We start from the raw sequence: 14,171 nt of genomic DNA, 5'->3' as shown, positions 1-14,171 counted from the left end.
ATTTGAAGAGGAAGAAAGGGAGATGAATGGGCTCCCTCTGGCCCATTCGATTCTGTGCCTCTGACCCAGAAAACTGGTCATTGTCAGCTCTTCTCTTGGGGCTTGCCCCAGCCTGGATTAGCAAATCATTTCTGCAAACTGTGAATGCCTTGAGTACAGATTTGCTGGGATGTGGGGTTTGGGGAGGAAGGTAGAGTAGAGGATGTGTGCTCAGACCTTTCTGGGTAAATATATTAAATCATGTCTGTTTAAAATAGAAAGCTAGTGAGAATGTTCCCTCTTGCCAGCTTCCAGCATTGATCTTTCAGGGCATACACTGAACAAGGAATATCTAGGTCTTCTTCAGGGCAGCCAGTATTTTTACCAGGGCAGCCCTGATGACGTCACTGGGAAAGTTCCTTTTTCTATTTTCTTTTAGTCCCTTTATCTACAGGCACAGCTGCTTAATGAAACCAGAAGGCCTGGGATGGCACCAGAGCTTACTGACCACTGACCAAAGAGCAGAGGAAGATAAGATGCCACAAAACCAGCACAAACCGGAATAGATGACCCTTAGTTGCCTTCAGATCATTAACATATCATTATAATGCTAAAATTTCCTCCCCCAAAGGAAAATCTCCACCATTTTGTGTACAGGTGATATATGAACATATATATTTATGAATTAGGCATATCTGGAGTCCCGCCCTGCACATGCAAACACGCTTCTCTCGCCCTGCACCTGGTCCTTAAAACCCCACACCTTCTATTGTTTGGGAAGAAGCTACCTTTCGAGTGAGAGCCACCTTCTCCATTCCTTGGCTAGTGAATAAAGCCTGATTGCTTTTTCCAGCTGGATGTTCTTTTTTTGTGACTGACACAAAGTGGTGAAAAAACCCAGTTTATCAGTGACAATATGGCAGCTCTTTATCTATCCCAACCTTCTGCTAAGGGCTTTCTTATATTGCAAACTGAATATCCCAGACTCTCCTGCAACTGAGGTTTCCTTGTGATTGTGAATGGCCACCCAAAGGCCCTCATGCAGCCTTGAATTAGGAACTCATTTAAGTAGAAAGGGAGGCAGGGCTCACAGGAAGCTTTGTAGCCAACAGGTTTGGTGTTAGCTTTTGATCCCTGGATCACAGCTGGGTCAGCGTGTTCCTGGAACTAGCATTTGCAATGGCTTATTCCTGGTCCTTGGAGTGTGGCTAAGGAGTAGGACCCTGGAGCCCTGTAATGGTGCAGTGGCTTGCTGATCCCCAGATTTCTGGAGTTCCTGGTCACTACACCATTGGGAAAACTAATCTGCCTCTCTTCCTCTAGAGAGCTCAGAAAAATAAAATAGTTATCTTGGGAGCAAAGTGGGGTTTGGAAGGCTTTGAGATATATATTTAATCCACTCAATCTCTATGTTTCTTCATATAGAGTAGTGTATTTGATCAATGAAAAGGCCTTGTCAGCAGCTGATCTGAATATACTAAGAACATGGATAAATATTAATACCAAACTAGTGCAGGGAGACACATGGCTCTTAAACGAACGGAGATTTTTCTAGTTGGAATTCAATGGGCCTTGCTTTCAAAACAGACTCCTCTCTCATGCACCTGTGAGTCTCTCCCAGGGACTCTTGGGACTCTTCCTAGACGTCATTTATTCATCTGGATGCTCCCAAGACAGAAATGCCAGGCGCATGGGGAAAGCATTGTTAGATCAAGTTTAGCCTAAAGCTGCCTCCTTACATTTTTAAGTTCAGCCAGGTTTCTCTGTACATGGTGAACTGTAATCTAGCTGGCTGTACACAACTATAACCTTTGTGCCAAGCGCTGAGTTTCAGCCAATCACAGGTGGCCAAGTGTTTGAACCATGTTCAAATAAGGCAAATGCAGAGCTGTAACCCATCCTGCTGTTTCTGTACCTCACTTCCGTTTTGTTTGTCACTTTTCTTTCTCTATTCATAAATCTTCTTTGACCATGTGGCTGGGCCAGAGCCTCTCTGAACCTATTCTCATTCAGTGCTGCCCGATTTGAGGTTTGTTCTTTGCTCAATGAAACTCTGTTAAACTTAATCTGTCTAAGGTTTTTCTTTTAACAGCATTGCAACTCTCTGATGCCATCAGACAGTCATTCATCACATTCTGCCGATTGTCAGCCTTCAGAGGAGAAGGATGTTGTGGACTTGCTTGTGTGCCAAGGCTGAGGTGGGCCCCATGCCCACTGCGCCTTTAGATGTCCAGCATGCCTCCCCTTACACAGCACTCGACACACCCATGGGAGTCTCACAACCATCCCAGACACATTACTTCCCTCATTTTTCTAATGGAAAAAAGAAACGAACTAACCAAACAACAGCAAAACCCAAGTCCAGAGTTAAATACCTTGGCCAAGGTCACACGGCTAGGTAGATTCAGAATCTGTCAACTCTTTAGCCACCCCCACTTCCTGCAGGATAAAGTCGAACTGCTTAACTTTTGTGCAAAGCCCTTCATGATCCAACCATCCAGCTTCCCCTCCCCCTCACTGGCCACCCCCCTGCAGGCTCCAGCCCTGCTGGAGTCACTGATGTCTGAGACTCACTGTGCCCATTCTCAGCCAGACGCTTGACTCATGCCATTACCTTTGCTACATCATCCTCCTCCCACCTCCAACTCCACCTATGCCTCCTCATGACTCATGCCACTCAGCCTTCGGGTCCCAGCACCTCATTACTTTCATTGGTCAGTCCATCCACAGGCATTCTGCTAGGCTTATTCTGTGTGCATGGTACCAGGTGCAGGGAAGGCAGCAGTGAATGAGCAGACCTGCCCCTATCCACCAGAGCTTCCAGCTCAGTAGGAGATGCAGTTAAATGGCCAGTGCTGAGATGTTGTAACAGGCATTGTGACAGAATAAGAACAGGGTGTGTACAAGTCACGGCTCTCCAGGGAAACAACCAATAGGACGTGTGTGTGTGCAAATAAAGCGATTCATTATAAGGAATTGGTTCACGTAATTATAAAGGTGGGCAGGTCCCAAGATCTGCAGAGGGAGTCTGCAAGCTGGAGACCCAGGAAGAGTGGAGTGGATCCTTCAGTTCGAGTCTGAAGGCAGGAAAAAAAGCTGATGTCCCAGTTTGAAAGCATCCAGGCAGGAGGACTTTTACTCACAGGAGGTTCAGCCTTCTGTTCTCTTCAGGCCTTCAGCTGATTGGGCGAGGCCCACCTGCATTGGGGAGGGCAATCAGCTGTCCTCAGTCTCTTAATTTAGATGTTAACCTTGTCCAAAATCATCCTCACAGAAATACCCAGAATAACATTGACCAAATATCTGGGCATCCCATGGCCCAGTCAAGTTAACATAACATTAACCATCATAGGGTGCTGTGGGGACACACAGCTAGAACTCCAACTTTGGAAATGCTTTCATGATCTCCCTGCCCCCACAAGACTCCATCCAGTGTTATTTCCCTGTTTCCACAGCCTCATCACAGGCCATATATATCTTACCATATCATATTATCATATCATCATACCATATCATATCATCATATATCATTATACCAGATCATATAATATATCATATCACATTACCATATCATATCCTCATATCATTTCATATAATCCCAGCTGGCTTGTCTCTCTCTCCCACTGCACTGTGAACTCCTTGATGTCTTTGCAGACAGACCAACCTCGGAATCAGACCAACTCTGATTCCAAGACCTGAAGACCTTACTCTGGAATCAGACCAACTGGCTAACATCCTGGCTCTCCTGCTCTTAGCTGTATGCTTAAGCAACTTCTTTATGACCTGGAACCTCAGTTTCCTTCTCTGTGAAAAGGGACAGTAGCAGTACTAGTACCCACCAGCCTCACTGGAATGTTGTGGGAATTAAATGAAGTAATGTATATGAAGCACTTAGTGCTGAGCTGGCCATCGTAGCTCCTCAGGAAATATAAGCAATTGCTCTCATTCCCTGCTGAACTCCAGCCTCAGCACACCTCCCTGCCTAACAGAATCTTGATTAAATGCCCACAGCACTACTCTGTCCTGCCAGTAACTGGATGTGTCTGTACCCAACAGAGACTCAGCACTTCATCCTTCCAGAACTCTGCTGGCACTGCACAGTTCCCTACAGACAGGCTCAGGGGAAGGGAATGTGTCTGATCATGTCTGCAGGAAGAGGGTGACAAGATGGTCAGACATTTGTGGAAAGCTGGCGGGGGACTTAGAGCAGCTGGCCCAAGAACTGTTCCCAGCAGGGGCAGAACCAGTCATCTTTAGTGACCTGCGCCATCTGGCTTGATCTTTAGTTAACAGCAAGGCTGACTTCAATCAGGCAATTGATTTCTGGCCAATCTCTTTCAAAAGGAGGAGACCTCAGGACAACTCGTGCTCAGGCATTTGATCTCACTTCAAGGAGAAACATTGCAGAATGGATCCACAGTGGGTAACTCCATCTTTTCCCATCATTACGGATTTTGCTATCTTTCTAAGAACTTTGGAACCAGCTCCTTGAACACTCTGAACTCAGTGTTGTACACATGGAAGGGTTCTATTGTTCTCCCACGCTCTTCCACCGGAGGCTATGGCACAAACGGGCCCTGCCTTTTACTAGCCTCTAGGCTCTGTGTATCTCAGTAACTGCATCTACATGATATAGTGACAGTTGCCTCCCTATACATTTCAGGGTGATATCTCAGGAAATGATGTTTCATCCAATGGAGCCGCGGGTGAAGATGTGTGGGCGGGCATGCAGCATTCCATAAGTGCTGAGCTGGAGTGTTGCACCGAGGGACTCAGCCCAAAGTCCTTGTATAACCCAAAGTCAGTTTTACATGGAAATAAATGCAAGGAAGGGAAATAACTTCTCAGAGTGTGTACATCAACAACCATGTAATAATGCTTTGTAAAAATTATTTTGGCAGTGTCTCTGATATTTCACGGAGCCTCCTCTCCTCTGAAGGTAATAGCATAGTGTGTGTCATGGTTTTGGCCTTCATCATAGTTTTTTTATTTCTAGTTTTATTTCCAACCCATATTTTCCCACTAGCATCACCAACTAAATGAGGGCTTATTGTAAGATATAAAAAAGATATTGAAATATAACAACAGTAAATGTTAAAATAACAGCACATGGCCCTCAACATTAGTCAGCTGGAGTCCTCTGCACATAAATACCTTGAAACCAGGAATTTATTCACCAGTTAAAGGGCATTACTTTGGGGCCAAGATATAAGCACAGTTTACAGTTTACTGGGCCCAGTATGAAAGCAGGGTGTTATAGGTTGAACTGGTTACCCCCAAAAGATGTTAAAGTTCTAACCCCTAGCACCTGTGAATAGGACCTTATTTGGACATAGTGTCTTTATAGATGATCAAGTTAAGACGAAGTCATCAGGAAGACTCTAATCCAGTATGACTGGCATCCTTACAAGAAGGGGAAATTTGGACATAGAGACAGACACTTATAGAGGGAAGACGATGTGAAGACACGGGGAGAAGACAGCTCCCTACAAGCCAAGGAACGCCTGAGGCTAGAAGCTCAGGGAGAGGCATGGAACAGATTTTCCCTCAGAGCGCTCCGGGGGAACCAACCCTGCCAACATCTTAATCTTGGGCTCTGGCTTCCTGGACTATGAGACAATAAATTTCTGTTGTTTAAGCCACCCAGTTTTTGCTACTTCGTTTATGGCAGCCTGCAAACTAATACACTAGGCTAATCATGATTGTTTTAATTTGGAGGGATTCTTTTCCAGAAGGCAAAATCTTATTAATTATATATTTATCAATCTACTTCCAATGTGTACAATTATTCCTGGTAACCCAGGAATCTGGAAAATATCTGAGGAAGAACAATCTGTGAAGTCTGGATTTCCTACAAGTGAAGAATGTGGGGCTCAACACAAAAGAATTTAGGGCATATGTGTACATGATAATAGGAATAATAGCTTACATTTATTGGGTATTTCTATGTGCCAGGCACTGAGTGAGTTAAGTACCTCATATGAATCAACTCATTCAATTTGCACAACCACCCTATGTAGAAACAATGATCACCTACATTTTTCAAATGAAGGAAATGGAGCACAGAGAGGGTTAGGTACTCGCCTAAGGTGGCACAGCTGGAAAATGGAGAGGCTACACTTGGAACCAGACAGTCAGTTCCAGAGCACATCTCTTATGGCTGGAAAGGCCTGGCAGCCACTATTTTATAAGTTATGGTTAATTCCATGATAAGCATCTGTGAGATAATAAGGTGGGCTTAGACATATTCCTTGGACACATGGTTACTGATGACCTACCATAGCAGGCACTGTGCTGGGTGCTGGGATCCAAGGCTGAATGTGATGAAGACCCACCTTCAAGGGACACATTGTCAATGGAATACAGACCACTGCAGAAATCTTTAGTTTCACCTTTTATCCCTCTATGTGTTCATTCTTACTTCTGCCAGCCACAAAATTGAGACTTTTTTTTTTTGAGATAGAGTCTCACTCAGTCGCCCAGGCTGAAGTGCAATGGTGTGATCTCAGCTCACTGAAATCTCCACCTCCTGGGTGCAAGCAATTCTCCAGCCTCAGCCTCCCGAGTAGCTGGGATTACAGGCACCTGCCATCATGCCCAGCTAATTTTTGTATTTTTGTAGAGACAGGGTTTCACCATGTTGGGCAGGCTGGTCTTGAACTCTTGACCTCAGGTGATCCACCTGCCTCAGCCTCTCAAAGTGCTGGGATTACAGGTGTGAGCCACCATGCCCGGCAAAAATTGAGACTTTTACTAGGAGAATTTCTATGGTATACTTGTGATGGTTAGCTTTATGTATCAATTTGGCTAGGCTATAATACCCAATCATTTAATCAAACACTAATCTAGGTATTGCTGAGAAAGTACTTTATAGATATAGTTAACATCTATAATCAGTCAACTTTAAGTAAAGGAGATTAATCTCAATGACGTTGGTGGGTAGGCCTCATCCAAACAGTTGAAGGTCTTAAAAGCAAAAACTAAAGTTTCCCACAAAAGAGAAATTCTGCATCAAAACAGCATCATTAGCACTCACCTGAGTTTCCAGCCTCCCAGACTGCCCTACAGATTTTGGACTTTCCAGTCCCACACTCACATGAGCCAATTCCTTAAAATAATACATTTTTATAAATACACATAAGTGTGTGTGTGTGTGTGTGTGTGTGTGTGTGTGTGTGTGTGTGTGTGTCCTATTGGTTCTGTTTCTCTGGAGAACCCTGACCAATACAACCAATGGTCTAGTTAAAAAAAAAAAAAATCATAGGATTAAGTAATTTTTAAGATTTGGCCCTGAGTCTCAGATTTATCACATACCAGATCTGGGCCCTTCAAAAATTTCAGGAAGGCCTAAAATTGTCTTTGAGCTTTAAATTCTTCATCTATAAGGGGACAATAATTTTTTTAAAAAATAACAGTATTCGCTTCACCTGCTTCACAGAGTTGATGAGAATATCAAATGACTTTTAAAAAATTAAAACAATGAAATGCCACACTAATGTCAGTTATTAAATGCCAAGGGTATGTTTTTTACAGATGTTAGCCAAGGATTTCTTTTTCTTTCAGAGTTTACAAAATTGGCCTCAAAGTGGAACAATAAAATGAGGTGCTCATCTTCAGGTGGATTGAATGCAGACCATGCCCAGCTTGTGGACACCGTGGGCCAGCTCAGGAGGTAGTCACTATACTGCCACTGCCTGGGCTGTCCTTGCCCCTGGCACATGGAGGACAAAGGAAGACAGATACAGGGACCCGTTCCTGTTAGCTCACTGCTGGCATGGAGACAGAAGGAAAGGAGGTATTTTCCATTTGTCCTGCAATGTCTTTAGGAGGTGAGTGACCCGAGTCAGCATGGCTACTCCTCAGTCCTGTGGTGGAACTGTGTCCAGAACTGTGGCTGCACAGAATGTGTGTCCGGGGCTGTTCCTTTCCAGCAGCTGAGCAGGCCACTGAGTGATTTGAGAGGCAAGGAAGGAACCACCTGCACCTACCACATAGCCTGAAACAGGCCTTCAAAGATGTGCATGCTGTTTGCTGAGGTAGGCACAGTGTCATTTGGGAGAAGTGGTACCCAAATGGTGTCTCCTTGTAGAGGAACAGATGTGGGGAAAGTCAGAGGCAGATCCAGAGCACAGAATGCCAGTGGAGCCAGCAGAGTGTGAGCCTGTGAGTGTGGCATCCTATGCATACGGCATCCTGTTCACACAGAATCCAGTGCACAAAGCATCCTGTACATGCAGAATCCTGTTCACACAGAATCCTGTGCACAAAGCATCCTGTGCATGTGGCATCCTGTGTATGTGGTATCCTTTGCATGTGGCATCCTGTGCATGCAGCATCCTGTACATGCAGCATCCTGTGCATGCAGCATCTTGTGCGTGTGGCATCCTGTTCGTGCGGCACCCTGTGCATGCGGCATCCTGTGCGTGCGGCATCCTGTGCGTGCGGCATCCTGTGCGTGCGGCATCCTGTGTGTGCGGTATCCTGTGCGTGCGGTATCCTGTGCGTGCGGCATCCTGTGCATGCGGCATCCTGTGTATGTGGCATCCTGTGCATGCGGCATGCTGTTCATGCCCCATCCTGTGCACATGGCATCCTGTGCATGCTTCACCTTGTGCATACATGCAGGGGTACAGGATAGAAGGGGTGGGTGTAGCCAGTTGCGCAAAGCTGTCAGGCAGCAAGCAGCCCTCCTTGCTGTGTCTGGGACTTGCTCTAGCTATCTCCTTGTCTACATGACCCAGAGGCCAAAACTGCCTATTTTGCCAAGTTCCTCTGGCTGCCTGGTGGTGACTTTCCTGTTTGCTCCCACCTCATGCAGTACAGGGAGCTCAGCGGCCATTGTTGTCAGAAGGCTTTGTGGTAGCAGCCTCCAGTCTACCCCTTTGCCTTAATGAAACCAATGACATCACACCTGTAGGGCCACGGGGCCATGTCACATTTCCCTGGTCTTCCAGGATTCCAGGTTTTATTCAAGCCAACAACTTGATTTTGAGAACAAGGTGCTTTCTTCTCTAATCCAAACAGAGCCAACCCATTCCCCTCCTGTTATTCTAACTTAAACATTGTTAAGTGTGACTGGCATGAGCTTGTTGGAGGCCCCACTGCCAATGACCTGGATTCTTTCATTTTTTGAAAGTTCCTGACTATATGTTTTTCTTTACAAATATTGATGCTTTATTCATGGCTTTGTCAACATTTTCTTAATTTTTCAGGACTGCCTCCATTGCCCATACATTTTCTACCCTAGATAATCATAAAAACCAGAAGCCTTAATTAGCATCTCCCAAAAGAATGCCAAGGAATTCCAGCATGCCGTGGCTATGTGTTCAGTGAGAGCTGTCTGTCACATCTGTCCTGATAATGGCATCTGTTCTGGAGCTGAAACTCTTGTGGGGAGCACAGTTCCCACACTGGACAGCCTGACAAGGCCATACAGGTTTCTGGAAGCAGTGATGAGCTCATTGTAGAAGGATTTTTTTTTTTGACATGGAGTCTTGCTCTATTGTCCAGACTGGAGTGCAGTGGCACGATCTCAGCTCACTGCAACCTCTGACTCCCTGGTTCAAGCAATTCTCCTGCCTCAGCCTCCCGAGTAGCTGGGATTACAGGAACATGCCACCACACCCAGCTAATTTTTGTATTTTTAGTAGAGATGGGGTTTCACCATGTTGGCCAGAATGATCTCAATCTCCTGACCTCGTGATCTGCCTGCCTCGGCCTCCCAAAGTGCTGGGATTACAGGTGTGAGTCACCGTGTCCAGCCTGTAGAAGGATTTTATACAGAGAGAGACTGGCATGCTGCTCCTCAAACATAATCAATAAAAATCTGAGTTCAGGCAAGAAGTGCTTGTAATATAAAGAAACGGTGCAATGGGCAAACTGCATGTCAAAAAAAGGCAGAGTGAGAATGGTGGGAAAAGTGGTCACAGACGACCAGGAAGAAGAGGGAGGTCACAGACTTTGCAGCTGTAAAATCACCTGGGAGCATTTGACAATATCTAGTCAATGTAGAGACATGGAGCGTCTCACCTCAGCAATTCCCAGAGCAGGGTGAGCACACCGTGCCGGGCCGATCCAGCCAGCAGCCTGTCTTTGTATAGCGCTAGAGTTAAGAATGACTTTTTAATATTTTACAGGGTTATGAAGAAGGAGGGTGGGGAAGGGGTGACAGAGCTCGGATGAGACCGAAAGCTTAAAATATTTACCATCTGGCCTTTTACAGAAAGTATTTGCTGTGGAGTTTCCCAAACATGCAAGGTCATCTTAAGACTCACCTGTGGGCACTGAATGGCTCGTGGGTGGTGGATCTACCACGGAGTAGGCTCAGGGATCTGCGTTTTTAACAATGCCCCTACCCACCCCCACCGCAGGGGTCCTAGGATCAGGTGACTTTGGGAAGCACTGCCAGAAGGCAAATTCTCACTGCTGTGGACACGAGGCATCCTGGAGGCCCATCCTAGCATTGTGTCAGGAGACGCCAACGCATCCATCCGGGAGAGATTAGGCCTCTCCCTTAGAACAGAGAAGGTGGTCACAATGTTCAATACAGAAGACTCACATGTAAAAAGCAAGGTGCTCAGGCACATAAAGTATGATACTATTTTATGAAGTTTCAAATGCATAGGTGTGGACCCTTCAGAAGGAGTAAAAAAAAAAAAAAAAAAATGCATGGTAAGGATTCATATCAACTTCAGGTTAATAGTTACCTCTATGGAGAGAGAGGAAAGGGTCAGGGACAGGTACCAAGAGGTTTCTGTCTCATCTATAATGTTTCATTTCTTAAGTGAAATGTCAAGTAGAGAGAAATAGAGACATCTTTCAATATTATTTCCTAGATTTTTCTGTACATCAAAAATATTTTATTATAATAATTTTTAAAAAATTATTGCTTGCAGGCACAATGGCTGTAGTCCCAGCACTTTGAGAAGCTGAGGTGGGAGGACTGCTGGAGCCTAGGAGTTCGAGACCAGCCTGGGCAACATAGCCAGACCTAATCTCTAAAGAAACATTTTTTAAATTAGCCAGGTGTGGTAACACGTGCCTGTAGTCCCAGCTACTCAGGAGGCTGAGTGGGGAGAATTGCTTGAGCTCAGGAGTTTGAGGCTACAGCGAGCCATGATCATACCACTGCACTCTGGGCAAAAGACCAAGACCCTATCTCTAAAAAAAAAATTACTGAGTAATTTTTAGCTCTTAATTGCAGGAAGCTGGAGTCTTTTAGGGATAATATGTGGATTGCTGGAAAGAAGCTCCACATTTTCTGGTGTCTTTTTAAATGATTATGCATAAAGTGATGAAGTTTTTTAAAATCAACTGACTTTTGCTAATTGATTTGGAGGAAGGGTCAACAGGGGGGAAGCATCCTCTATCTCTTCTGCAAGACCTCCTCTTATATTATAGGAGGGAACATCACTTCCATAAGGTCTGGAGGACCGGGAAATGCCAGTCAGCATCTTTATTAAATACCATGGACAGGTGGAGGCAGATTCAGGGGAAAGGTAGAATATCCAGGGGTGGTGAGAAGCAGGCGGTGGTGATTTAAGAGAGAAAGCAGACTCTGCACCTAGTAGCAATCTCAACAACAAAGACACATCAAGAAAGGAAAAAAATATGCACCCTGAGACAGCATGGGAAGAAACAGTAGAGCAGGTGCTTCCAGACAAAATGAGCAGATTATAGCTAACAAAGAATGGTGAGACCTGCAAATAAAGCCTCAGGGCCAGGAGCAAGAATTCTGCTAATTGGAATACAGAATTTAAGAGGTGAACACAGCACACAGCCCCAAAGGGACTGACTACAGGTTTAATTAAAGATGATCTTCCATAACCTTGTCCTTGATTTAACAAACAGTGTCTCTGAGAAATGCTTGAAAAAAAAAAACATGTGTGCCTCCGTAGGTGGGTTTCTTGTCCTCTGAATCTTAGATATGGTGGGCCATTTTCCCACCTATAATTTGGCCCTCTGGGATGGCTATTGGATTTAGGATTCTTGCTCAACTACCACTCCCACTCCCTGGCCAAATATGACCCCAAGAGGGAGAAACAATAAAAACACATTTCAATATCAAAAAGTAGAAAGTGTAACACAGAGACGACAAAGATACTTTAAAATTTTTTATTTTTCCAGATCCTTCAAACTCTTGACTATGGAATGTGAGAGCTTGAGAATTCTGGGGTACAGACACTTGTCCTAGGGGACAGATGCTCTATTCCTGCTTCTAGAGACATCTAATCATGGCGTCACAGACTTAAGGTGTGCCGTCAGCTTCACTGAACTTCTGCTGGTTTCACACTCATGGTTTATCAGATCAGATGAATGATAGAAACAGCCCCAGAAGGACGAACAGGAGAAAAAGGAAGAAGGTCCTTAGTGGTCATTACTTTTCAAACTGGATATGAGCAAGAAAAGTATTCTAAGTAACTGCATGCAGGATCTTCCTAATTAGGTAAGAGTAGTAAGGTGCTTTATGTATCTATGCACTTATATACACATGAACTCTAATCTTGCTGTTGTTTACATTTTACAGACGAAGAAAACAAGGGGCAGATACCTAAGTCAGCACTGGGAACCACATAGAAAGTAAAAGCAGAGCTGGAGCTAGATTCAGATTTTTTTTTTTTAAAGATAGAGTCTTACTCTGTTGCCCAGGCTGGAGGGCAATGGCATGATCTCAGCTCACTGCAACTTCCACCTTCTGAGCTCAAGTGATTCTCCTGACTTAGCCTCCCCAGTAGCTGGAACTGCAGCTGTGTGCCATGGTACCTGGCTAATTTTTGTATTTTTGGTAGAGATGGGGTTTCACCATGTTGCCCAGGCTGGTCTCAAACTCCTGACCTCAGGTGATCCACCTAACTCAGCCTCCCAAAGTGCTGGGATTACAGGTGTGAGCTACCTCATCCAGCCCTAGATTCAGATTTCAAGATCACTGCTCTTGACTGACTGACTGATCGACGGATTCATTGATTGGCACCACATCTTTGTAGCTACTTAAGTTTCCAGACTAATGAACATGACCTTTCCCCTGTATGTGTTCACACTGTGCCAAACCTTTTCACATTAATTGCTCATTTGAGCCCTTCTACTCTGTGGAATTGTCAGGGTAAGTGTTCTTAAGTTTATAGATAAAGAGAATCCCAAGAAGGCCAGACAGATTAAATCACTTGCTCAGACACCAGGCTGGGCTATAATAGGCCCAAGTATTCTTTTCACTCTGTCAGTCTCCCGTAGTCCACTAGAGCCCCACAGAAAATCACAATGAAGACCATACCCTACTCCCCTGCCCCTAACCCCCTTGCAATGTGTTCTGGGCAAGACCCTTCCCTGCAATATATTTGCATGGTTTGATTAATGTGTTCTGTGGAGGAAATATTCAGATCAGTGTACCTGAACCACAGACTGCTTAATCTAGCACCTAATTTAGGGCTTACCTTAATACATATATGATATATGGTTTGGCTGTGTCCCCACCTAAATCTCATCTTGAATTCCCACGTGTTGTGGGAGGGACCTGGTGGGAGGTAACTGAATCATAGAAGCAGGTCTTTACTGTGCTGTTATCGTGATAGTGAATAAGTCCCATGTGCTCTGATGGTTCTATAAGGGGGAGTTTCCCTGCACAAGCTCTCTCTTTGCCTGCTGACATCCACATAAGATGTGACTTGCTCTTCCTTCCCTTCTGCCACGATTGTGAGGCTTCTCCAGCCATGTGGAACTGTAAGTCCATTAAACCCTTTTTCTGTATAAATTACCTGGTCTCAGGTATGTCTTTCTCAGCAGCATGAAAACAGACTAATACAATATACAAGATAAAATAAGAGGCAAAAGACATGATCACCCATGCCTCCCTATCCCAGGTAACAGTCTAACTTGGAGTCTAAGTTCCATGTATAAGCACTAGCTATACACAGTTTAGCAGAATTGGCTTTGTAATCAGATCACTGGCCTTGAAATAGAAGCTTTATCATCTACTGAATGTATGACCTTACAGTACTTACTCTCTCCAAGCCTCAGTTTCCTTATCTATATAATGGGAAAGACAATCCCCTCCTGAGGCAAGTGTAACTATGAAGATTCTGTGGACAATAAACTCAAGTGCACGGTACGTGGCACGGTAAGCGCTCAATAAAAGGTAGCTGATGGCCCCATTACTTGCGGTTTGAGCTTGCAGATTCTTTTCTTTTCCTTTCTCTTTC

The 14,171-nt window shown here is 44.7% G+C and overlaps 1 long non-coding RNA gene across 1 annotated transcript in view, besides 2 other annotated features; it reads right to left on the bottom strand.

Annotated features, from left to right (window-relative positions):
* The window catches only part of LOC105378054 (uncharacterized), a 36,714-nt gene extending 33,562 nt beyond the window's left edge, over nucleotides 1-3,152 (bottom strand). Inside the window, exon 1 of the long non-coding RNA XR_943109.3 lies at nucleotides 2,594-3,152. This is a non-coding gene — a long non-coding RNA (uncharacterized LOC105378054). The remainder of the gene's footprint in view (nucleotides 1-2,593) is intronic.
* Nucleotides 173-1,205: a transcriptional cis regulatory region, noted in NCBI's record as "candidate enhancer chr6.5240 targeted for multiplex CRISPR interference". NCBI's record gives its function as "positively regulates PPP1R14C gene expression with high confidence in K562 cells {active_cell/tissue: K562}" and the evidence as "EXISTENCE:mutant phenotype evidence [ECO:0000015][PMID:30612741]".
* Nucleotides 7,931-8,431: an enhancer, noted in NCBI's record as "H3K4me1 hESC enhancer chr6:150585269-150585769 (GRCh37/hg19 assembly coordinates)". NCBI's record gives its function as "activates a minimal SCP1, AML or CMV promoter by ChIP-STARR-seq in primed H9 embryonic stem cells {active_cell/tissue: H9 hESC(primed)}" and the evidence as "EXISTENCE:reporter gene assay evidence [ECO:0000049][PMID:30033119]".

This window comes from Homo sapiens, chromosome 6, assembly GCF_000001405.40.
Source record: "Homo sapiens chromosome 6, GRCh38.p14 Primary Assembly".
Lineage (NCBI taxonomy): Eukaryota > Metazoa > Chordata > Mammalia > Primates > Hominidae > Homo > Homo sapiens.
This window is presented reverse-complemented; position numbering and strand designations above follow the sequence as displayed.